The sequence below is a fragment of the Homo sapiens genome, chromosome 1, assembly GCF_000001405.40.
Source record: "Homo sapiens chromosome 1, GRCh38.p14 Primary Assembly".
Lineage (NCBI taxonomy): Eukaryota > Metazoa > Chordata > Mammalia > Primates > Hominidae > Homo > Homo sapiens.
Genome location: NC_000001.11, coordinates 203,760,785 through 203,783,558, shown reverse-complemented (window position 1 = coordinate 203,783,558; position 22,774 = coordinate 203,760,785). Strand labels below are relative to the sequence as shown.

The 22,774-nt window shown below is 46.6% G+C and overlaps 1 protein-coding gene across 4 annotated transcripts, besides 2 other annotated features; it reads right to left on the bottom strand.

Annotated features, from left to right (window-relative positions):
- Positions 1 to 7,186: 7,186 nt before the first annotated feature.
- LAX1 (lymphocyte transmembrane adaptor 1) lies at positions 7,187 to 18,376 on the bottom strand. 4 transcript variants are annotated; one of them, XM_006711397.4, is made up of 6 exons: positions 18,176 to 18,376; positions 17,905 to 18,042; positions 12,622 to 12,731; positions 12,082 to 12,192; positions 11,412 to 11,491; positions 7,187 to 9,684 (listed from the first exon to the last, which is right to left on the bottom strand). In XM_006711397.4, exons 2-6 carry the CDS (start codon positions 17,991 to 17,993, stop codon positions 8,878 to 8,880), a joined length of 1,197 nt encoding a protein of 398 aa, XP_006711460.1. In that variant the 5' UTR covers positions 17,994 to 18,042; positions 18,176 to 18,376; the 3' UTR covers positions 7,187 to 8,877. The 4 variants fall into 4 exon arrangements, with proteins under 4 accessions (XP_006711460.1, NP_060243.2, NP_001129662.1 ...); NM_017773.4 differs by having other exon boundaries at positions 17,905 to 18,376; NM_001136190.2 differs by lacking the exon at positions 17,905 to 18,042.
- Positions 10,241 to 10,816: an enhancer, noted in NCBI's record as "OCT4-NANOG hESC enhancer chr1:203741871-203742446 (GRCh37/hg19 assembly coordinates)". NCBI's record gives its function as "activates a minimal SCP1, AML or CMV promoter by ChIP-STARR-seq in primed H9 embryonic stem cells {active_cell/tissue: H9 hESC(primed)}" and the evidence as "EXISTENCE:reporter gene assay evidence [ECO:0000049][PMID:30033119]".
- Positions 18,134 to 18,493: an enhancer, noted in NCBI's record as "active region_2355". NCBI's record gives its function as "activates an Ori minimal core promoter by ATAC-STARR-seq in GM12878 lymphoblastoid cells {active_cell/tissue: GM12878}" and the evidence as "EXISTENCE:reporter gene assay evidence [ECO:0000049][PMID:35858748]".

Here is a 22,774-nt window from a genome sequence, read left to right as displayed (position 1 = left end):
GCACTTTGGAAGGCTGACTTGGGCAAATCACTTGAGGCCAGGAGTTTGAGACCAGCCTGGCCAACATGATGAAACCCCATCTCTACTACAAATACAAAATTAGCTGGGTATGGTGGCAGGCGCCTGTAATCCCAGCTACCTGGGAGGCTGAGATGGGAGAATCGCTTGAACCTGGCAGGCAGAGGTTGCAGTGAGCTGAGATTGTGCCATTGCACTCCAGACTGGGCAACAAGAGCGAGACCTTGTCTCAAAAAAAAAAAAAAGAAAAAAAGAAATTAATTTATCAAGAAACCAGCAAATGTTTCAGGCCCAACAGCCTTTTTTTCCACTTCCTCGTTTCTTCTTTTTCTTGTTTGTTTTTTTTTGAGACGGAGTCTGGCTCTGTCGCCCAGGCTGGAATGCAGTGGTGCAATCTAGGCTCACTGCAACCTCTGCCTCCTGGGTTCAAGCGATTCTCCTGCCTCAGCCTCCCAAGTAGCTGGGACTACAGGTGCGTGCCATCATGCCCAACTAATTTTTTATATTTTTAGTAGAGATGGGGTTTCACTGTGTTTGCCAGGATGGTCTCGATCTCCTGACCTCGTGATCCATCCGCCTCGACCTCCCAAAGTTCTGGGATTACAGGCGTGAGCCACTGTCCCCGGCCCTCGTTTCTCCTTTAGAAACCTAGATTTGTGTGCATGCCTACGTATGCTCATCTTTTTACTTCTCTGAATCTGACCACAGGGCTTCAGATATTATCATGTTCTTCTATCATCAGACATATTAAATTATGTCATTGTAGTAGATAAAATAATGCCCCCCAACAAAGATGTTCACATCCTAATCCCTGAAACCTGTGACTGTGTTACCTTGCATGGTAAAAAGGATTTTGTAAGACCAGGCGCAGTGGCTCATGCCTGTAATCCCAGCACTCTGGAAGGCCTAGGCGGGCGGCTCACCTGAGGTCAGGAGCTCGATACCAGCTTGGCCAACATGGTAAAACTCTGTCTCCACTAAAAATACAAAAATTAGCCGGGCATGGTGGCATGCATCTGTAATCCCAGCTACTTAGGAGGCTGAGGCAGGAGAATTGCTTGAACCTGGGAGGCCTCTTCTAATTACATTGGGCCCACTCTGATATCCAGGATAGTCTCCTCATCTCAAGACCTTTACTCATACCTGCAAAGTCCTCTTTTTTTTTTTGAGGTGGAGTCTCACTCTTGTCGCCCAGGCTGGAGTGCAGTGGTGTGATCTCGGCTTGGGGCACAGCGTGCTGGGGAGAGTGAAGGAAAGAGAGCAGGAGCTCTTTTTGTGAGAAAGGATGTGTTTTCCTCAGTTGGAGTAGAGAGGTGGGACGTCCACATTCCTGAGAAGAGACTCAAATAAGCACATAAGCATGAGGGCAGGGAGGGCAGGCCCGTGGGCCCAGGGCTGGCTACATAATGTGTAGGGCCCAGTGCAAAATGAAAATGTGGAAACACTTGTTCACAAAATAGAAAAAAAATACTGTTGGCTGGGCATGGTGGCTCACGCCTGTAATCCCAGCACTGTGGGAGGCTAAGGCTGGCAGATCACCTGAGGTCAGGCGTTTGAGACCAGCCTGACCAACATGGTGAAACCCCTCCTCTACTAAAAATACAAACATTAGCTGGGCATGGTGGCACATGCCTGTAATCCCAGCTACTCAAGAGGCTGAGGCAGGAGAATAGCTTGAACCCGGGAGGCAGAGGTTGCAGTGAGCCGAGATCGTGCCATTGTACTCCAGTCTCGGTGACAGAGCAAAACTCCTCTCAAAAAAAAAAAAACAAAAAAAAAAACAGGCCGGGCGTGGTGGCTCACGCCTATAATCCCAGCACTTTGGGAGGCAGAGACGGGCGGATTACGAGGTCAGGAGATTGAGACCATCCTAGCTAACACGGTGAAACCCCATCTCTACTAAAAACACAAAAAAATTAGCCGGGCATGGTGGCGGGCACCTGTAGTCCCAGCTACTCGGGAGGCTGAGGCGGAAGAATGGCGTGAACCCGGGAGGCGGAGCTTGCAGTGAGCTGAGATCACGCCACTGCACTCCAGCCTGGGCAACACAGCGAGACTCCGTCTCAAAAAAAAAAAAAAACATACTGTTAAAGGTGCTAAAATATAAAGCTTTCCCCTTTCTTCTAGTCCAAGCTTGTTCAACCCACAGCCTGCAGGCTCCATGCAGCCCAGGATGGCTTTGAAAATAGCCCAACACATATTCAAATTCATAAACTTTCTTAAAACATGAGATTTTTTGGAGATTTTGTTTTTTGTTTTTTGTTTTTTAGCTTATCAGCTATCATTGGTGTTAGCATATTTTATGTGTAGTCCAAGACAATTCTTCTTCTTTCTTTTTTTTTTTTGGTGAGATGGAGATTTACTCTTGTTGCCCAGGCTGGAGTTCAAGGGCGTGATCTTGGCTCACCGCATCCTCCGCCTCCCAGGTTCAAGCGATTCTCCTACCTCAGCCTCCCGAGTAGCTGGGATTACAGGCATGTGTCACCACGCCCGGCTAATTCTGTATTTGTAGTACAGATGAAGTTTCACCGTGTTGCCCAGGCTGATCTCGAACTCCTGACCTCAGGTAATCCTCTCGCCTCGGCCTCCCAAACAGCTGGGATTACAGGCGTGAGCCACTGCGCCCAGTCAATTCTTCTTTCAATGTGGCCCAGGGAAGCTAAAAGATTGGACATCCCTATATGTAGTCTTTCTTTTTTCTTTTCTTTTCTTTTTTTTGTTTGAAACGGAGTCTCGCTCTGTAGCCCAGGCTGGAGTGCAGTGGCGCGATCTCGGGCTCACTGCAAGCTCCGCCTCCCGGGCTCATGCCATTCTCCTGCCTCAGCCTCCCGAGTAGCTGGGACTACAGGTGCCCGCCACCACGCCCGGCTAATTTTTTTTTTTTGTATTTTTAGTAGAGACAGGGTTTCACCGTGTTAGCCGGGATGGTCTCAATCTCCTGACCTCGTGATCCGCCCGTCTTGGCCTCCCAAAGTGCTGGGATTACAGGCGTGAGCCATCGCGCCCAGCCTATCTAGTCTTTCTTGACATGGTGTTTTAAATTTACTATTTAATGCCATTCTAAGTAAAGAAAATTAACTTTTTTTTTTTTTTTTGAGGCGGAGTTTCCTTCTTGTTGCCCAGGCTGGAGTGCAATGGCGGGATCTCGACTCACTGCAACCTCTGCCTCCCGGGTTCAAGCAATTCTCCTGCCTCAGCCTCCTCAGTAGGTGAGATTACAGGCACACGCCACCATGCCCAGCTAATTTTTGTATTTTTAGTAGAGATGGGGTTTCACCATGTTGGCCAGGCTGGTCTCGAACTTCTGACCTCAGGTGATCCACCCACCTCAGCCTCCCAAAGTGCTGAGATTACAGGCATGAGCCACCATGCCCAGCCAAGAAAATTAGCATTTAACATAGTTAGCATGACTTCATCTTTATATTGTGCAATGCCAGCTTTATGGTTTTATTTTTTTATTTTTTATTTTTTTGAAACAGAGTTTCACTCTTGTTACCTAGGCTAGAGTGCAATGGAGCAATCTCGGCTCACTACAACCTCCGCCTCCTGGGTTCAAGCAATTCTCCTGCCTCAGCCTCCCAAGTAGCTGGGATTACAGGTGCCCGTGACAAAGCCTGGCTAATTTTTGTATTTTTAGTAGAGATGGGGTTTCACCATGTTGGCCAGGCTAGTCTCGAACTCCTGACCTCAGGTGATCTGCCTGCCTCTGCCTCTCAAAGTGCTGGGATTACAGGCATGAGCCACAGTGCCCAGCCTAATGCCAGCTTTATTTTTTACTTATTTATTTTTTCTTGAGATAGAGTCTTGCTCTGTCACCCAGGCTAGAGTGCAGTGATCTTGGCTCACTGCAACCTCTGCCTCCCAGGTTTAAGTGATTCTCCTGCCTCAGCCTCCCAAGTAGTTGGGATTACAGGTGTGTGCCACCACACCTGGCTAATTTTTCTATTTTTGGTAGAGACGGGGTTTCACCATGCTGGCCAGGCTGGTCTCAAACTCCTGACCTCAAGTGATCTGCCTGCCTCGGCCTCCCAAAGTGCTGGGATTACAGGCATGAGACACCACGCCTGGCCTTTCATGTTTATCTCTTGATCATATGCTAAACAAGGGGCAGATTATTCATTAGTTTACTGGGAAAGGGGTGGAGATTTCCCAAAACTAAAGGTTCATCTTCCTTTCAGACCATAGAGGGTAACTTCTAGACATTGCTATGGCATTTGTAAACTGTCATGGTGCCGGTAGGAGTGTCTTTTAGCATGCTAATGCATTCTAATGAGCATATAATGAGCAGTGAGGATGACTAGGGGTCACTCTCGTCGCCATCTTGGTTTCGATGGGTTTTGGCTGGCTTCTTTATCGCAGCCTGTTTTATCAGTAAGGTCTTTGTGACCTGTATCTTGTGCCGACCACCTATCTCATTCTGTGACTAAGAATGCCTAACCTTCTGGGAATGCAGCCCAGCAGGTCTCAGCCTCATTTTACCCAGCTGCCATTTAAGATGGAGTCGCTCTGGTTCCAGTGCCTCTGACTTACCCACTCTGAATCATGCTGAACTTCCATGAAATGTGGGTCTGCCAGAATTCTTTACTCATAAGGCACTGCAAAAACTATATATAAATGGGAGGCAATGGATGATGGACATGCATATTATGAGTATCTTCTCTTCCCATGTGCATTCTCCATTGTCCCAACAGACTTCATTTACAAAACACGAGTTCAAAGATAAGAATTTCTTTCAAAGGTAAGAATTTCAAGATGGCAACATCACAATATTAAACCAAGTGCAGGGCCCTTCTGAGTGCCAGGCCCCATGCAACTGCTTAGGCAGCACGTCCAGGAAGCTGGCCCTGCATGGGAAATTGCGCTCTTGTGAAGGGCTTCAGGTTCCTTTCATTTCCCCTGGAGAGTCAAAGAAGCATCGGAGATAAAAGAAAAAGTTAGAGTTTTCTGGCTATGTTGTCATATTCTTCTGAAATGATCCTAACTCTTCAGGGTAGAAACAGACATCTACCTTCCCAGTCTGGAGCTGGGAATGCTGAAGGAAACGATTGGTAAGAGGAAAGGGAGGCCTGTTTACTTCCATTTCTCTCTAACTTCAGGGGAGCAGGACACCGGCTTATTGACTGAGAGTTTCTGGAAATATTTGCAAGTCAGTATAGGCCCTCAGCCCACAGGAAACCCAGAATTGACGATAAAGCCTGTCATAGTAAGGGGGTGCTGAAGGAGAACAGATGCCAGAGGGACAGCAAGACCTCATCTTCCATTCACCATTAGAGGGTGGGTGCTTCTAGAGGGAAGGAGGGAACTTAGCAAACCTCTGTATTTTGTACTAAACAGTATCCTGAATGAAGACACAATCAATATAATGTAGGTTTGGGTAATTAATTCATTTTATTTAACTAATTAAGGAATCAAAATGGGTTAGTTATCTTTGTTTGTTTGAGGCAGAGTCTTGCTATCACCCAGGCTGGAATGCAGAGGCAAGAATATGGCTCACTGCAGCCTCAACCTCTTGGGCTCAAGTGATCCTCCCACCTCAGCCTCCCGAGTAGCTGGAACTACAGGCAGGCACCACCATGTCTAGCTAATTTTTGTATTTTTTGTAGAGATGGGTTTTACCATGTTGCCCAGGCTGGTCTTGAACCCCTGGGCTGAAGTCATCTGCCTGCCGTGGCCTCCCACAGAGCTGGGATTATAGGCGTGAGCCACTGTACCTGGCCTTGGTTATCTTTATATCTACTTTTTCATCCTATCCTAATCTTGAAAAAATTTCCTCATATTTAGCATCATCGAGTGTATGAGATAAGACAATTAGTCAACATTTCCTGGCAACTAATGTGAGAAAACAAAACCATAAATGGAAAGAAAAAAATTAACATTCAATAAAAAATTTTTCATTGATTCATTTGCAAAAATTTCTTAAAACAAGAAATAAACAGAAAAGTTACGTATCTAAATATGAGACAATCTACAGTGCATTAATCATTCTTGATTTGGGAGAGTATGTAAGTGTGACTGGCTGATTGAGGTATCCAGCTTGTTGGTGTGTAAACAAGCAAGAGCTGCCTTAAGGCCCAGTGTGGTGGCTCACGCCTGTAATTCCAGCACTTTGGGAGGCCACAGCAGGTGGATCACCTGAGGTCAGAAGTTCGAGACCAGCCTAACCAACATGGTGAAACCCCATCTCTACTAAAAATACAAAATTACCATGGTAGCAGGCGCCTGTAATCTCAGCTACTTGGGAGGCGAAGGCAGGAGAATTGCTTGAACTTGGGAGGTGGAGGTTGCAGTGAGCCAAGATCATGCCATTGCACTCCAGCCTGGGTGACAAGACCAAAGCTCCATCTCAAAAAATAAAAAAGAGCTGGCTTAGTTTATTCCAGGACCTGCCCCCAACTGATACGTTGTCCCTCCCACCCTTACTGGGTGACAGATGTCTTCATAACTTCTAATTTAGATCTCATAACTTTTCATCCCCTCTTAGTTATGAGAATTCTGTCATGCCAATGTTTAAGATTTTGTTCAGTCCATTTAAGCTTCATTCTCACATATGATACAAACTTCTCCTTACTTGACTATGGGATTGTCCTTTCGATGCGCTTGCTGCTGCCCTGGCTAACCCTGCATGGTCATCAGTACCAGACTGTCATGGTTCCCTCTGTGTGGCATGAATTTAAATGCTGGCCACTTGGTGGAGTGATGGTCTGTTTTCACTCACGACACTTCTGACACCAGATGTGTGGATTTTCTCCCCCCAACAGCTGACCAATTTTCCAGCTTTCTGGACACCAGTTGGGTGCCCTGCAATTCAATTCTTACACTAACCTGTCTCTCCTTATCTACAATAGATTGACTTATTTAACCCAAATATACATATAAAGTCGTTTTAGAATTGCTAAGCCATGCCTCTGTGAGATACAAATTTACCAACCAGAGTGCAGTTTTTGTATACAGTTCTTTGTGTCCTTATCTACAGTTATAAGTCAAAACATTGTTTTCCAACTTTGTCAGTTCTTTTTTCCCCATCCCTTTCAGTGAGTTGATATCATACATTTATAATACAATTAGATTCATTTGCCACAATTTGCATACCATCCTGGGTTCCCTTGACAGTCTGTTCATTTTTAAAAAATTTGCATACAATAAAAGCCCCTTTGTCTAGTGTACAGTTTTTTTTTTTTTTTTTTTTTTTTGAGACAGAGTCTTTCTCTGTTGCCCAGGCTGGAATGCAGTCCGCCTTCCTGGTTCAAGTGATTCTCCTGCCTCAGCCTCCTAGTAGCTGGGACTACAGGCGCACACCACCATGCCAAGCTAATTTTTGTAGTTTTACAAATATGAGAGACAGGGTTTACAAATTACAAATTAGAGACAGGTTTACAAATGTTAGAGACAGTAGAGACAGGGTTTCACCATGTTGTCCAGGACAGTCTTGATCTCCTGACCTTGTGTTCCCCTGCCTCGGCCCCGCAAAGTGCTGGGATTACGGGTGTGAGCCACCGCGCCTGGCCATGTGTATAGTTCTTGTGTTTGCAAATGGATATTGTCATGTATCCACCACACAGTACCATACAGAACAGCTCCATCAGCCTATTCCCTTTGCAGCCCCTTTGTAGCAAACTTCCCTCCTTTTCTCAAACCTGACAACAACTGATCTGTTCTTCATCCCTATAGTTTTGCCTTTTCCAGAATGTCATATAAATAGAATCGCCCAACATGTAGACTTTTAGGCCTAGCTTCTTTCACTTAGCAAAATGGATTTAAGATATGTCTATATTATTGTGTGAACCAAGAGTTCATTTTTTACTGTTGAGTATGGATAAACTCAAGGAATGGATATCAACAGCTTATCCAATCACCTGTTGAAGGATATCTGGGTTATTTCTAGTTTTTGGTAATTATGAATGAAGCTGCTATAAACAGTCATGTGCGAGTTTTTGTGTGAACATAAGTTTTCAGTTCACTTGCGTCAATTTCTAGTAGTGAAATGGCTGGGCCATATGATAAGTTATGCTTATAAGAAACTGCTGAAAAGTTTTTCAAAGCTGCCCTGACGCTTTGCAATCCCATCAGCCACCAGTGAGAGTTCCTGTTCTTCTTCATCCTTACCTACATTTGGTTGCCCACACTTCTTTTTTGTTTGTTTTTTTTTTTGAGAGGGAGTCTCGCTCTGTCACCAGGCTGGAGTACAGTGGCACAATCTCGGCTTGCTGCAACCTCCACCTCCCGGGTTCAAGCGATTCTCCTGCTTCAGCCTCCTGAGTAGCTGGGATTACAGGGGCACACCACCACGCCTGGCTAATTTTTGTATTTTTAGTAAAGATGGGTCATGTTGGCCAGGCTGGTCTAGAACTCCTGGCACCAAGTGATCTGCCCTCCTCGGCCTACCAAAATGCTGGGATTACAGGCATGAGCCACTGCACCTGGCCTGCCTACACTCTTTAAAATGGAAATTGCCCACCCCACTCCACTCCAACTTCTTCCTTCCTTTTGACCTCTGACTGGATTATACAATAATCTATACTCTTGCTTTGCAGCCTGTTGGTATTAATGAAGGTAATAATCTTAGACTACTGTGCACTACTTTCCTGCTTTCTTCACAGTTCTAGGAAGCAGTTTCAGCAAACATTCTTAGGCTGGTACAGGAGATAACCACACTCTGCTTGAGAAGAATTCCCTTCTGGAATTCCCAAACCTCTGCTTTTGTGTGGCCTCTTAGTTCACTGCTCATCTCAGCCTCTTTTTAATCTAACCAGTGAATCCACTGAAGCACTAAGGTGATCACGGGTCTGCACTAGACTCTGCAGTAGTCAATCCTATGGGATAGACTACTCAATGTGGCTTTATGGCTGGGTACCTGGGTCTTCATTCATCAGGAAGGAGCTGAGTGCCAGGCCCCTGCTCAGAGTCCCTGCCTCCTAACTTGGCAGTTAGCACATTTTCATAGTCACTGGAGTCCTCATTTGACATCTCTTCTCTATGTTTCATCTGACTGTCCTCACTCTGTGTGAATGGCTGAAAGTCTGCATAATCCCCTGAAGCAAGGAATGTCCTTTTGACACATTGGACATGGGTCCCGGGATCATCTGTCTTGTCCTCGACATGACCTATGTTTGAGGATGGCACATCTTTCTCAGCCTGCTGCTGGCTTCCACTGGGATCTGCTGCTGGAACATTTTCATAGTCTCTGCAGCACTGAAAAGCCACCCAGAGCTGCCTTTCCTGGATGGCACTGAGATCCAACCCTGTCATGTTGACATAGTCATTTGAGATCTGAGAAGAACCTTCTCCATTGCTGAGTGAATCACTGTCCTCAGCTCCTGGAGAATACAAACTGGTGCAGTCACCAGCATCTCCACAGCCCTCATCTCTTTCCTCAGTAAACTCCAGCTTCTGGGTACTGGGAAGAACAAAGAGATTTCTGGAAGGGCTTTTGGTAGAAGCTAGAGTCTCAGCAATCTCTTCTGCTGTGGGGACATTGACATAATCATGCGAATCCTCTGAAGAAATGCTTGCGCAGTCTCTGGAAGCTCTGACATTGATGCAGTGTGCCGAGGGAGTGAGGTTCCCACACATCTGGGGGACCATGGCGTTGTCATAGATACCCACCGCGTACTCTGTGGCATGGATGTGGGCTGTATGCTCCTGGAAGGCATTGCCTGCTTGGGAGGGCTATGAAGAAGAAAAGGAAGCCAGTGGTCAGATGCAAGCAGAAATATGGACAAAGCCTTTCTTCTTGGAAAATACCACTGGCATATTCTGAAAAAAAAAAAAAAAAAAAAAAAAAAAAGAAGAGCAACAGTGCAAATGTGATGATAAATCACAACTAGTTTTTGGCCACAGTATGGGAATCAATTGGTGGGGGGGTGCGGGTGGGACGAAAATATTATCAACTGAAGAGCCCACTGAGAGGCAGTACAACATAGTGGCTAAAGGTGAGGCTTAGACTAAAGGTACAAATCCTAGCCTCACCACTTTGTGCCAAGTGAGTATGAGCACCTGACCTAATCTCTCGGTGTCTTCATTTCCTAATTTATAAAATGAAGATTATCATAATATTTACATCATAAGTTTGTTTTTATTTTTGTTTTTGAGAAGGAGTTTCGCTCTCGTCGCCCAAGCTGGAGTGCAGTAGAGCAATCTCAGCTCACTGCAATCTCTGCCTCCCGTGTTCAATCGATTCTCCCGCCTCAACCTCCTGAGTAGCTGGGATTACAGGTGCCTCCTACCACTGCCCGACTAATATTTTGTATTTTTAGTAGTGACAGTGTATGTTCTGTTACCGGGCAGCAGACACACAAACCTGTTGGTCCTATAACAACCTCATTTGATCAAACACTTTCTATATCAGCTACAGTGCTGAATGACTTAACAGATATTTCTGCTCCTGAGGGTAATTGAAATAATTGACATAAGCCCTGCAAGTAATATCCAAAGCAGGTTTTTAAGTGTGTTTTGAGCACCAATGGCATTGTTGGAATATTTGCATACCCTCCTGAGGTGATCACTTTGAAAGGAGCAACATTCATTTGAATAAACATGTTGTCATGTCTTTGTTAAAACAATCAATTGGCAGGGTATGGTGGCTCACACCTGTAATCTCAGCACTTTGGGAGGCCAAGGCGGGCAGATTGCTTGAGCTCAGGTGTTTGAGACCAGCCTGGGCAATATGGTGAAACCCCATCTCTACACAAAATATGAAAGTTAGCCAGGCGTGGTGGTGTGTGCCTGTGGTCCCAGCTACTTGGGGGGATGAGGTGGGAGGATTGCTTGAGCCCAGGAAGCAGAGGTTGGAGTGAGCAAAAAAAGAAAAAAAAAAAATGCTGGGCACGGTGGCTCATGCCTGTAATCTCAGCACTTTGGGAGGCCAAGGCGGGTGGATGAAAAGGTCAAGAGATTGAGACCATCCTGGCCAACATGGTGAAACCCCGTCTCTACTAAAAATACAAAAATTAGCTGGGCGTGGTGGCGCATGCCTGTAATCCCAGCTACTTGGGAGGCTGAGGCAGGTGAACTGCTTGAACCTGGGAAGCAGAAGTTGCAGTGAGCCGAGATCGCACCACTGCACTCCAGCCTGGGTGACAGAACAAGACTCCATCTCAAAAAAGAAAAAAGAAAAAAAAATATACCAATCAATTTTAGTTCTGACATTATGCACTTGAATATCTGTACCCTGGTGCCCTTTTTATAACTCCAAGCACTTGCCTCTGTCCTTAATTTTTCTTTTTGGGTATAGGAGATCCTGAGGCTAGTCTTCCCAATTTATTAATAGGACTGCAGGGCGAGTGCCAAAGGGCATGCTGTTTGTTTGCAGTGAAACCAGATCTAAGCCCTATAACTCTTTCCCCGCAGTTCTTCTGCCAGAGACATGTCATTCTCCCAAGAAGCTTGACTCTTACCACATGCTCCGGGCTCTCAGAATTTCTGGAGAGGAGGCTCTCAGTACTGAAAATGCGCATACTCCTCGACTCATGTCTCCCTGAAAGGACAGAGAACAAATCCTGAAGATAGCCAGTCCTCTGAGTGCTTCAGTCCAAATAATCCCTGCATCATGGATGAAGCGGGTTTGCGTGGTGTCTGGAATTTCCAGCCTTGGGTCTGGTGTTCTCTCATGTTCTGAGGTCAGAGTTATGGGGATGACACTCTGAGAACCGGAAGCCCCTCAGCTTCTGTGGCACTGGAGGATGCTATCACAGGGGTTGGGAGGCTGAGAAACAAGCTCCTGTGTGAGAACCTCCTCCCTGCCCCATCCTCTGCCTGTGATGCTGGCACCGAGTTCTCTTCCTTGGTGTCTTCCCTATGCCTGGACACACTTGGCTTTCTTCTGTTGCCTTAACATTAAGAAAAAACAAAACTCCCAGCCCAGATGACCCTCTGCTCCCTTTTTGGAGCCCTCCAGACCCCCCTGGAGTTGCAGCTGACAGTCTATCTATCCCATTCTCCCTGATACTCTCTGAAGGGCAAACAGGTTTGAGAACTTAAAGAAAATTGCTTCTGGAGGGTGAGAGGCACATTCTGGGAGTAGAAGTTCGAATATCTGGACTCCATAGATTAGAAGGAAAAACCTACCCAGGTCTTCCTGTCGCCAAGGCAAGATGTCATAAATATTTTTGGCTCTTTGTCTGGTTTGTGGCAAAGTCAGCAAGGGCATGACGGTAACTCGGAGGTAAGGAACTTGTCCTGCAAGGCAATGAGAGAGATGGGAGTCATGGCGGGGGTCAGCTGCACAGAGTGAAGAGACTCATGGGAATGAGATGGCCCCTGAAAATGCTCCCCATCCTTGCCAGTTCTCACAAAAATACCCTTTCAGACTCAAGCTACAGGAATTTTCATTTGAGTGAGAGGAACAGGGGACTTGATGGACAGAACGTAAAGAGGAAACTGGACACAGGGGCACCAGGGCAATGTCTTTCCCAGGGGAACTCCATCAGCACTGGGCTTTTGGAGCCACAGTTCAGGATCTTGAGTGAGGCAATGGCCAATGTATCGGGTAAGAACTGAGGACTCCCCAGGCCAATAGTTTATCCCTGGTAAATAAGCTGGGCTTTAAATTCCAGCCTAGATTAATAATCCTACTGTGTCTCAACTCAGGACAAACAAGGGACTCACGCTTCTTCCGTTTATTCCAATTCCACAAGATGCAGAAAACCGCAACGACCAGGAGGATGGCGAGGAGTCCCGCAAACCCGGAAAAGATGTTGGTGATCTGGTCTTTATTTCTAGAAAAACAATCGAATGACATGTGCTAGCTGTAGGAGGGTGGAGAGGCTGGAGGAGACATTTCCTTTTGGAGTTAGAGCCTGAAGATTTGGAATGGGAGCCGAGTGAAGGAAAGCCCAGGTGGGGTGTGGTGGAAGAGAGGGTTATCTCTGAATATTGACTTTATGGAGAGAGGGGACTTGGACAGGGGAGAAGGGAACTATTCCTTTCAAATGCCTACCGGGTGCCAGGGATTCACATGTGAAACTTATTAATCTCTTTCTTTCTTTCTTTCTTTCTTTCTTTCTTTCTTTCTTTCTTTCTTTCTTTCTTTCTTCCTTCCTTCCTTCCTTCCTTCCTTCCTTCCTTCCTTCCTTCCTTCCTTCCTTCCTTTCTCTCTCTCTCTCTCTCTCTTTCTTTCTTTCTTTCTTTTTGATGGAGTCTTTCTCTGTCGCCCAGGCTGGAGTGCAGTGGCACAATCTCAGCTCGCTGCAACCTCCGCCTCCTGGGTTCAAGCCATTCTCCTGCCTCAGCCTCCAGAGTAGCTGGGATTACAGGAGCGTGCCATGAGGCCCAGCTAATTTTTGTATTTTTAATAGAGGCGGGGTTTCACCACATTGGCCAGGATGGTCTCAATCTCTTGACCTTGTCATCTGCCCGCCTTGGCCTCCCAAAGTGCTGGAATTACAGGTGTGAGCCACCGTGCCCGGCCTGTGAAACTTATTTAATCTTTAACAATCCTATCACACTTTGTGGCCAAGTAACCTGAGCTTTAGACTCAGAAAGGTAAAGTAACATGTCAGAGATCACCTAGGTAGGAAGGAGCAGAGAAGGAATATGAATCTAGGTCTGTTTGCGTCCAAAGACCATGCTCTTTCCACTCTGCCACACTGTCCTCCAAACCTGCAAAGTCAAAGTCATTTGGCCTTGCCCCTTCTTGTTCCCTACTCGTGGGCTTCCTGGCTTGCTTGGAGGAGAGGATTAGCCAACGTACAGTTAAGGAGTGGCTCTGTGACAGAGTCCAGCTTGCATGAACTTGAATAACACCCCCCACCCCCCGCCGCCCCCCCCCCCGCACCAATTTGTGGAGCTGGTCTCCAAGCAACACACTGCTGTTGTGTGAAGTTTAACCAATTCATGTTCTGTGCTACCTTGCAATTCCCTGGCAGGGCTGGCGTCACTGCTCGGTTTTGCTTGGGTGTTGAAATGCATCCAGATGATTACAACCCCAGATGGCTATGCCTAATGCAACAGGAAGCTGCCAACTGAAGTTACAGCGGGAATCAGGAACTGACGTGCTACCCCCAATTATTAGAAACCAGGGCATTTAACAGGGAAGGTTTTTGTCCCCTTGAGTTTTAGGCTTATTTATACAACTTTCTTTCTTTTCTTTTCTTTCTTTCCTTCTTTCTTTCTTTCTTTCTTTCTTTCTTTCTTTCTTTCTTTCTTTTTTTTTGAGACAGAGTCTCGCTGTGTCGCTCAGGCTGGAGTGCAGTGGCATGATCTTGGCTCACTGCAACCTCTGCCTCCCAGGTTCAAGCGATTCTCCTGCCTCAGTCTCCTGAGTAGCCGGGACTATAGACACACGCCACCACGCCCGGCTAATTTTTTTTGTATTTTTATTAGAGATGGGATTTCACCATGTTGGCCAGGCTGGTCTTGAACTCCTGGCATCAAATGATCCGCCTGCCTCAGTCTCCCAAAGTGCTGGGATTACAGGTGTGAGCCACCGCGCCCAGCCCATCCAAGTTTCTAGTGAGCATTTCTAACTAGTTGCCTAACAGACAGCTCAAACCAAAACAGAGCTCCTGTTCTCCCCACATAAACCTGCTACTCCCCAGGTGTTTCCCATAATCTAATGGCTTAGTCAAAAATCTTGGAGCCATTCTTGGAGCTCTTTTTCTTTCATGCCCCACTTCCAGTCAACCAGCAGATTCTGGCTGCATTACCCTGGGCATTTATCCCAAACCCAACCACCTCTTGCTCCTCTGTTGCCACCACTCGGGTCTAAGCTGCTGTGCATTTCACAGGAACCTTTGCAATAACTTTCCTGGATGGTCTCCTTGCTTTAACTCTTGGCCTCAACATTCGTTGTCTTCACACAAAAACCAGTGTGATAATTCTAAATGGTAAATCAGATCACATCCCTCCTCTACTCATCACTCTCCCCGGCTTCGAGTGACTTAGAATAAAGTCTATAGTCCTTCCTCAGAGAGGACTTGACGGCACGATATGATCTGGCCTCTGCTTACCTCTGACCTTATTTCCTACCACTTTCCCTCTGACTTTGACTGCCAGGATCCCTTGCCCATGCAGAGCACAGTTCTGTGTCAGACCTGCCACTCCCTCTCCCAGGAATCCTCCTCTCCCAGCTGTCTGCATGGCTGAGTCCCTCTCATTCAGGTCTCTTCTGAAACGTCAAATGTCATCTCCTCAGACACGTCTTCCATGGCCACACCCTATTACTTGCAGTCCCCTTGCTGTGCTCCACTTTTTCTTCATAGCACTGATGACTGATTGATATATCTTTTTTTTTGAGATGGAGTTTCGCTTTTGTTTCCCAGGCTGGAGCGCAATGGCATGATCTTGGCTCACCACAACCTCCCCCTCCTGGGTCCAAGTGATTCTTCTGCCTCAGCCTCCCGAGTAGCTGGGACTACAGGTACGCACCACCACGCCTGGCTAATTTTTGTATTTTTAGTAGAGATGGGGTTTCATCATATTCGTCAGGCTGGTCTCGAACTCCTGACTTTGGGTGATCTGCCCACCTTGGCCTCCCAAAGTGCTGGGATTACAGGCGTGAGCCACCTCACCCAGCCCGATTGATTGATATTATACATTCATATGCTTATCTGTTTATCATTTTTTTATTTAAAAAAAAAAAATTTTGAGACAGGGTCTCCATGTGTTGCTCAGGCTGGTTTTGAACTCCTGGGCTCAATTGATCCTCCTGCCTTGGTCTACCAAAGGCTTGGATTATAGGCATGAGCCACCACGCTCAGCTCTGTTCATTATTTGACTCTCCCACTTGTCTATAATCTTCAGGAGGTTATGGACTTGTTTATCCTGTTCACCTAGTGCCTTAAACAGTGCTTGGTACTTAGTAGGGCCCTGATAAATATTTGTTAAATGAATGAATTAATAAACAAATGAATTAATATAGAAATAGTTTTAAGTGTAGTACAGCCATTATGGAAAACACTATGGAGGTTCTTCAAAAATTAAAAATAGAACTACCAAGGCGGGGCATGGTGGCTCATGTCTGTAATCCCAGCACTTTGGGAGGCGGAGGTGGGCGGATCACCTGAGGTAAGGAGTTCGAGACCAGCCTGACCAACATGGAGAAACCCCCAACTCTACTAAAAATACAAAATTAGCCAGGCATGGTGGCTCATGCCTGTAATCCCATTTACTGGGGAGGCTGAGGCAGGAGAATCGCTTGAACCTGGGAGGTGGAGGTTGCAGTGACCCTAGATTGCAACCTTGCACTCCAGCCTGGGCAACAAGAGTGAAACTTTGTCTCAAAAAAAAAAAAAAAAAAAAAGAAGTGGAGAGTAGAATGGTGGTTACCAGGGAGGGGTTGCAGAGATGTTGGTCAAAGGGTACAAAATATCAGTTAGAGAGAAAGAAAAATTCAAGGGATCTGTTGTATAACATGATGCCTATAGTTAATAAAAATGTGTTGATGGTCCAGACCCGGTGGCTCATGCCTGTAATCCCAGCACTTTGGGAGACAGAGGTGGGCGGATCACCTAAGGTAGGGAGTTCGAGACCAGCCTGACCAACATGAAGAAACCCCATCTCTACTAAAAATACAAAAAAAAGTTAGCCGCGGGTGGTGGCACATGCCTGCAATCCCAGCTACTCAGGAGGCTGAAGCAGGAGAATAGCTTGAACCTGGGAGGTGGAGGCTGCAGTGAGCCGAGATCACGCCACTGCACTCCAGCCTGGGCGACAGAGCGAGACTCTGTCTAAAAAAATAAAAATAAAAAAAACAAACAAAACAAAACAAAAAAAGTGTTGATGACTATAGTTAATAAAAATGTGTCATATTCTTGAAAATTGCTGAGAAATTTTAAGTATTCTCACCACAAAAGAAAATTGTGAAGTAATGTGTATCTTAATTAGTTTAATGTAGCTATTGTACAATGTATACATATTTCAAAACAACAGGCTATCATGATAAATATATATAATTTTGATTTGCCAATTAGAAATAAATAAAAATAAATGAAGAAATAGTTTTGGAGAGATGCTTCAGGCTTCTGATTCATTGCTCATTGATGCTCATATCTACCAGCAAGTGACATGTGTTTGCCATGATAATAACATTTATTTCCCCAAACGACTGCAATTTTATTTTATTTTTTGAGACAGAGTTTCGCTTTTGTTGCCCAGGCTGGAGTACAATGACATGACACTGCAACCTCTGTTTCCCGGGTTCAAGTGATTCTCCTGCCTCAGCCTCCTGAGTAGCTGGGACTACAGGAGCATGCTACCACTCCCGGCTAATTTTTGTATTTTTAGTAGAAACGGGGTTTCACCATGTTGGCCAGGCTGGTCTTGGCCAGGCTGGTTCAAGAGTGGGGGTGATCCGCCCCACTCGGCCTCCCAAAGTGCTGGGGTTACAGGTGTGAGCCACCGCGCCCAGTCAGCTGCCAATGTTTTTAAAGTTTCAACTGTGGATGGATTTTTAATTTTGTTTGTATGAGATTGAAAGTAGTAGCAGTAATTCATACCCATGATTAGTTCTGTAAGATTTTACGTCCTAAGGACGTATCTTTATTACATCTATCACTACATTTTTTATTCATGACAAGTTTTTGGATCTCAAAACACATCCTTGGAAAACTCAGCCTTTTGTTTCTGTCATGGTGACACCTAGGAAAGACTGATGATAGGGTTCAGGGCCTCCGAGAGGTGAGAAATCCAACCAGTCTAAGCAACTAGCTTTAAGGGCCAGTGTTATCACAGTTTTTCCTCTACCACAATATTTTCTTTCTTTCCTCAATACCTTCCTTTCCCCCTAGCACCCCTGAGCAAATGCCTCCAAGCCTAGAGTTTGGTGGTTTAGTAGACCGAGCCTGGGTGTTGAGAGGTGGCAGCACTGCTGTGTAAGAAGCTCCTAAGGGTGGACTAGGACCTTCTGCCTAAATCAGGGCAGGGTGGAGCTCACCACCCTGAGTCACTCACCTGTCCAGGCTGCGGGGAGTCACATGCAGAGTGCTGGACTCCAAGGTCCTCCCTCTGATTGTCGAAAGGGTTGGAGTGACACCATCCATTGTATCAGGAACCTTTGAGATGCTCTCTGGCTTCAGCTTCTAAGTTTCTCTTAATCATAATCAGTTAGCCAGCATGTCTACCACTTCTCCCCACCCCCGCAACAAACTCCCTATCTCGTGTCTACCTCTGAAACGTCAGGCCAAGTTGACCCAACATACAAAAGCAACAGGTTTGGTTCTACCTGGACGTGGCTAATGCCCACTGCAGGAAGTGCGATCTCATCCGGACATGGTGCTTCCAAGTGAGGTGGCTCAGGGAGAATCTGTGGCCTCTGCCTTCACGTTTCTGGTGGAAACGTGAGGGGCACAGAGGGGGAAACTGCCAAGAGGCTCAAGAGAGGCTCCGTGAGAAGCTCGTCTTCCTTCAACACCCAAAGCAGAGTGAAAAGAGCAAACCACTTTGCCAGAATGGAAACAGAGAGTCAGTCACCGGAAACGACACCACCAATGTGCTAATGAAGCACAGGGCACAGGAAACTCTGCTCAGCTCTTAATCTGCTAGAAGAAAACATATCTTCAACCCACCGTTCCTGGGTTTGCCAGGTGCTCTGTGGTCTGTGATGAGTGTGATTAAAAATGGGGCAGGGTAGTAGAGAACTTGTGATTCTTCACCCTGAGTTTCTGAGACACTTAGAGTTGTATAAGTCTTCAGATTTACAGTATTTTCTAAGCAAGTCTAAGGAGCACTGGAGGTTGCCTTTTAGAGTGAAATGCAGATCTCCGGGACCCTCTTCTGATTCAGTGGGTGGAGGCTGCAGAGGGGGCAGGCTTTGGCTATCGATGCTTTCCAGGTGAATTTGATGGAGCTTTCAGGTGATTTTGATGGAGCTCATCTGTGTTTCATGTTTTGGGAACCTCTGCTCTGGGTACTACCTTAAGAATAGAAGTTATGCTGGGTTAGCAGGACCCCTGCTCCCCCAAGGCAACCTTCCACAGCTCCTGGCTGCTGGTGATCTCCTGTTCTCAGGGCTCTTCTGAAGATCAGTCACAGTCTTACTTGTCACACACCTGTCTCAGAAGCTGAACAAGTTCATCCTTAAGAGCTACCCAAAGTGTTTGAAGATTGTTCAAAATTTATTGCTAACTCCCCTCCCTTCTTGAGCCTACTAATCTCCGGAAACACTCTTTGCATCTTGGGAGAGTCCAAAGAGAAGGGGCCACTAAGACTGTTGTAAGGATGTGAAGAACCTCTCTGATTGCACTTTCCACAAGGAAATGGATTCCCAGATGAATGGAAGGGCAGACCAGCAGTACCCTCCTAGAACCATGCCTCCCTCCCATCTCTTCCCAGTGGACATTGAGGTCCTCAGCTTTCCTGAGGTGGCAGCCCCTGGCCTGTCTGCATCCAGACTCTCACAGAGTCCCCAGGGGCTGCAGACTGGCCATGGCTGGCTTTCCAGGGAGCTTTATCATTCCAGGTCCTGGGCCCCTTCCCTCCCAGGAGCTTCACCTGGTAGGAAGCAGAAATGGCTCAGAGGCAGCTGGTGCTGGAGCTGGAACCTGGGTCTCTGCCCACTTCTCCTTTGGATCAGGTCTGAGTAGGAACTAGGACTACTCACAAGATCCATCATGCTGGTGGCAAGGACTGGGGTCCTGGGCCATTGGAACCAATAAGGGACTGTGAGAATCAGGACCTCGGAAGGCAGTACACGGAAAGGGCACATGGAACCAAACCTCAGAACCATGACTGCTAATTAAAAAAAAAAAATTTTTTTTTTTTTTAAAGAACTTTTCCATTGCATGTGATCATTTCAGGGCCTCACTTATCTTATCTACCCAATCTGCTGCAGTTAGACCAATCTTCCCTCTGGTTGTCCAATTCTCTCCTGCCCCCACATCTCAGGGAAATCACCACCTCAGAGGCAGCTGCCCAAGTTACCTGCCTCAGACTGCAGGTGAGTGCCAGGATTCCAGGCCTTGGCTGTGCCCCTCATCCTGCTCTCCTTTCCTTCCCCATGGGGCAAAATCCAATCAAACTGACAAACTAAAACAAAAAGTAGGTAGCTGAAATGATTCATCATAATAGCGGGGAAAAAACAACAGCAACAACAAAAAACACTCGTTCCTGGGAAATGGGGTGTATTTTGTTGTTGTTGTTGTTTTTTTGAGATAGAGTTTTGCTCTTGTTGCCCAGGCTGGAGTGCAATGGCATGATCTTGGCTCACCGAAACCTCCGCCTCCCGGGTTCAAGCAATTCTCCTGTCTCAGCCTCCCGAGTAGCTGGCATTACAGGCATGCACCGCCACACCCAGCTAATTTTGTATTTTTAGTAGAGACGGGGTTTCTCCATGTTGGTCAGGCTGGTCTCCAACTACTGACCTCAGGTGATCCGCCCGCCTTGGCCTCCCAAAGTGCTGGGATTACAGCATGAGCCACCGCACCTGGCCAAGGAGTGTATGTTTTAAATCCGATTGCTCTCGTGTTGTTGATGTTGTTTTTTTCTGAGACAGGGTTTCACTCCTGTTGCCCAGGCTGAAGTGCAGTGGCATGCTCTTGCTCACTACAACCTATGCCTCCCAGGCTCAAGCCATTCTCCTGCCTCAGTCTCCCAAGTAGCTGGGACTACAGGTACACGCCACCACACATGGCTAATTTTTGTATTTTTAGTAGAAATGAGGTTTCAGCATGTTAGCCAGGCTGGTCCAAACTCCTGGGCTCAAGTGATCTGCCCACCCTGGCCTCCCAAAATTCTGCGATTATAGGTGTGAGCCACTGCACCCAGCCTGCTCTAGTGTTTTAACCACTTTTCATGATTTTTTGGGGTCGGATGTTACATATGATTGTTACCAGACCCCAACACTTACCCAGAGTTAGCCTTTGGGTTGGGGGTTTCTGCACTATAGTCCCTTCAGTGGTTGCCAGAAAGGTGTTACAGGGAAGGGGTCCTGATGCAGACCCCAAGAGAGGGTTCTTGGATCTTGCCCAAGGAAGTATTCAGGGCGAGTCCATAGAGTAAAGTGAAAGCAACTTTATTAGGAAAGTAAAGGAATAAAAGAATGGCTGCTTCACGGACAGAGCAGCCTCAAGGGCTACTGGTTGCCCATTTTTATGGTTATTTCTTGATGATATGCTAAACACGGGCTGGATTATTCATGCCTCCCCTTTTTAGACCATATAGACTAACTTCCTGTTGTTCCATGGCATTTGTAAACGGTCATGGTGCTGATGGGAGTGTGGCAGTGAGGATGACCAGAGGACATTCTCATGGCCATGTTGGTTTTGGTGGGTGTTAGCCGGCTTCTTTACTACAGCCTGTTTTATCAGCAAGGTCTTTATGTCCTATATCTTGTGCCAACCTCCTATCTCATTCTGTGACTTAGAATGCCTTAACTGTCTGGGAATGCAGCCCAATAGGTCTCAGCCTCATTTTACCCAGCCCCTATTCGAGATGGAGTTGCTCTGGTTCATACGCCTCTGACAGGATTCTAAAGTATTAAGACTGTTTTTTGGCCAGGTGCAGTGGCTCACGCCTGTAATCCCGGCAAGTTGGAAGGCCGAGGTGGCTGAATCACTTGAGGTCAGAAGTTTGAGACCAGCCTGACTAACATGGAGAAACTCCATCTCTACTAAAAATACAAAAAATTAGCCAGGCGTGGTTGTGCCTGACTGTAATCCCAGCTATTCAGGAGGCTGAAGCAGAATTGCTTGAACCCGGGAGGCAGAGGTTGCAGTGAGCCGAGGTCGCACCATTGCACTCTAGCCTGAGCAACGAGCAAAACTCCCCTCAAAAACAAACAAACAAACAAACAAACATTTATTTATTTATTTATTTTTGAGAAGGTGTCTCGCTCTTTCGCCCAGGCTGGAGTGCAGTGGCATGATCTCAGCTCACTGTAACCTCTGCCTCCTGGGTTCAAGCGATTCTTCTGCCTCAGCCTCCCGAGTAGCTGGGACTACAGGTGTGCGCCACCATGCTCGGCTAATTTTTGTATTTTTTTTTTTTTTTAGAAAAGACGGGGTTTTACCATATTGGCCAGGCTGGTCTCCAACTCCTGACCTTGTGATCCACCTGCTTTGGCCTCCCAAAGTGTTGGGATTACAGGTGTGAGCTACCAGGTCCAGCCTATTTATTTATTTTTTGAGATGGAGTCTTGCTCGTCGCTCAGGCTTGAGTGCAATGGCATGATCTCGGCTCACTGCAACCTCTGCCTCCCGGGTTCAAGTGATTATCCTGCCTCAGCCTCCTGAGTAGCTAGGATTACAAGCGCTCGCCACCACGCCCAGCTAATTTATGTGTTTTTAGTAGAGATGGGGTTTTGCCATGTTGGCCAGGCTGGTCTCGAACCCCTGACCTTGTGATCTGCCTGCCTCAGCCTCCCAACTTGCTGGGATTACAGGCATGAGCCACCACACCTGGCCTAGACTGTTATTTTTGTGTTTTTTTGTTTTTTTTTTTTTTGAGACGGAGTCTTGCTCTGTCACTCAGGCTGGAATGCAATGGCACGATCTTGACTCACTGCAACCTCCGCCTCCCAGATTCAAGTGATTCTCCTGCCTCAGCCTCCCGAGTAGCTGGGATTACAGTCATGCGCCACCACACCCGCTAATTTTGTATGTTTAGTAGAGATGGAGTTTCACCATGTTTGCCAGGCTGGTCTCAAACTCCCAACCTCAGGTGATCCGCCTGCCTCAGCCTCCCAAAGTGCTGGGATTACAGGTGTGAGCCACCGCCCCTGGCCCTAAACTGGTTTTATTTATTTATTTATTTGAGGCAGAGTCTCATTGTGTCGCCCAGGCTGGAATGCAGTGGCATGATCTAGGCTCACTGCAAACTCCACTTT

Coding starts and splice junctions, on each gene's coding strand:
- LAX1 (NM_017773.4), bottom strand. CDS start 17,993: ATGGATGGTGTCACTCCAACCCTTTCGACAATCAGAGGGAGGACCTTG. Junction 12,193..12,621: donor TTGGAATAAACGGAAGAAGC/GTGAGTCCCTTG, acceptor ATTGCCTTGCAG/GACAAGTTCCTTACCTCCGA. Junction 9,685..11,411: donor CTGAGAGCCCGGAGCATGTG/GTAAGAGTCAAG, acceptor TCTTCTTCATAG/CCCTCCCAAGCAGGCAATGC.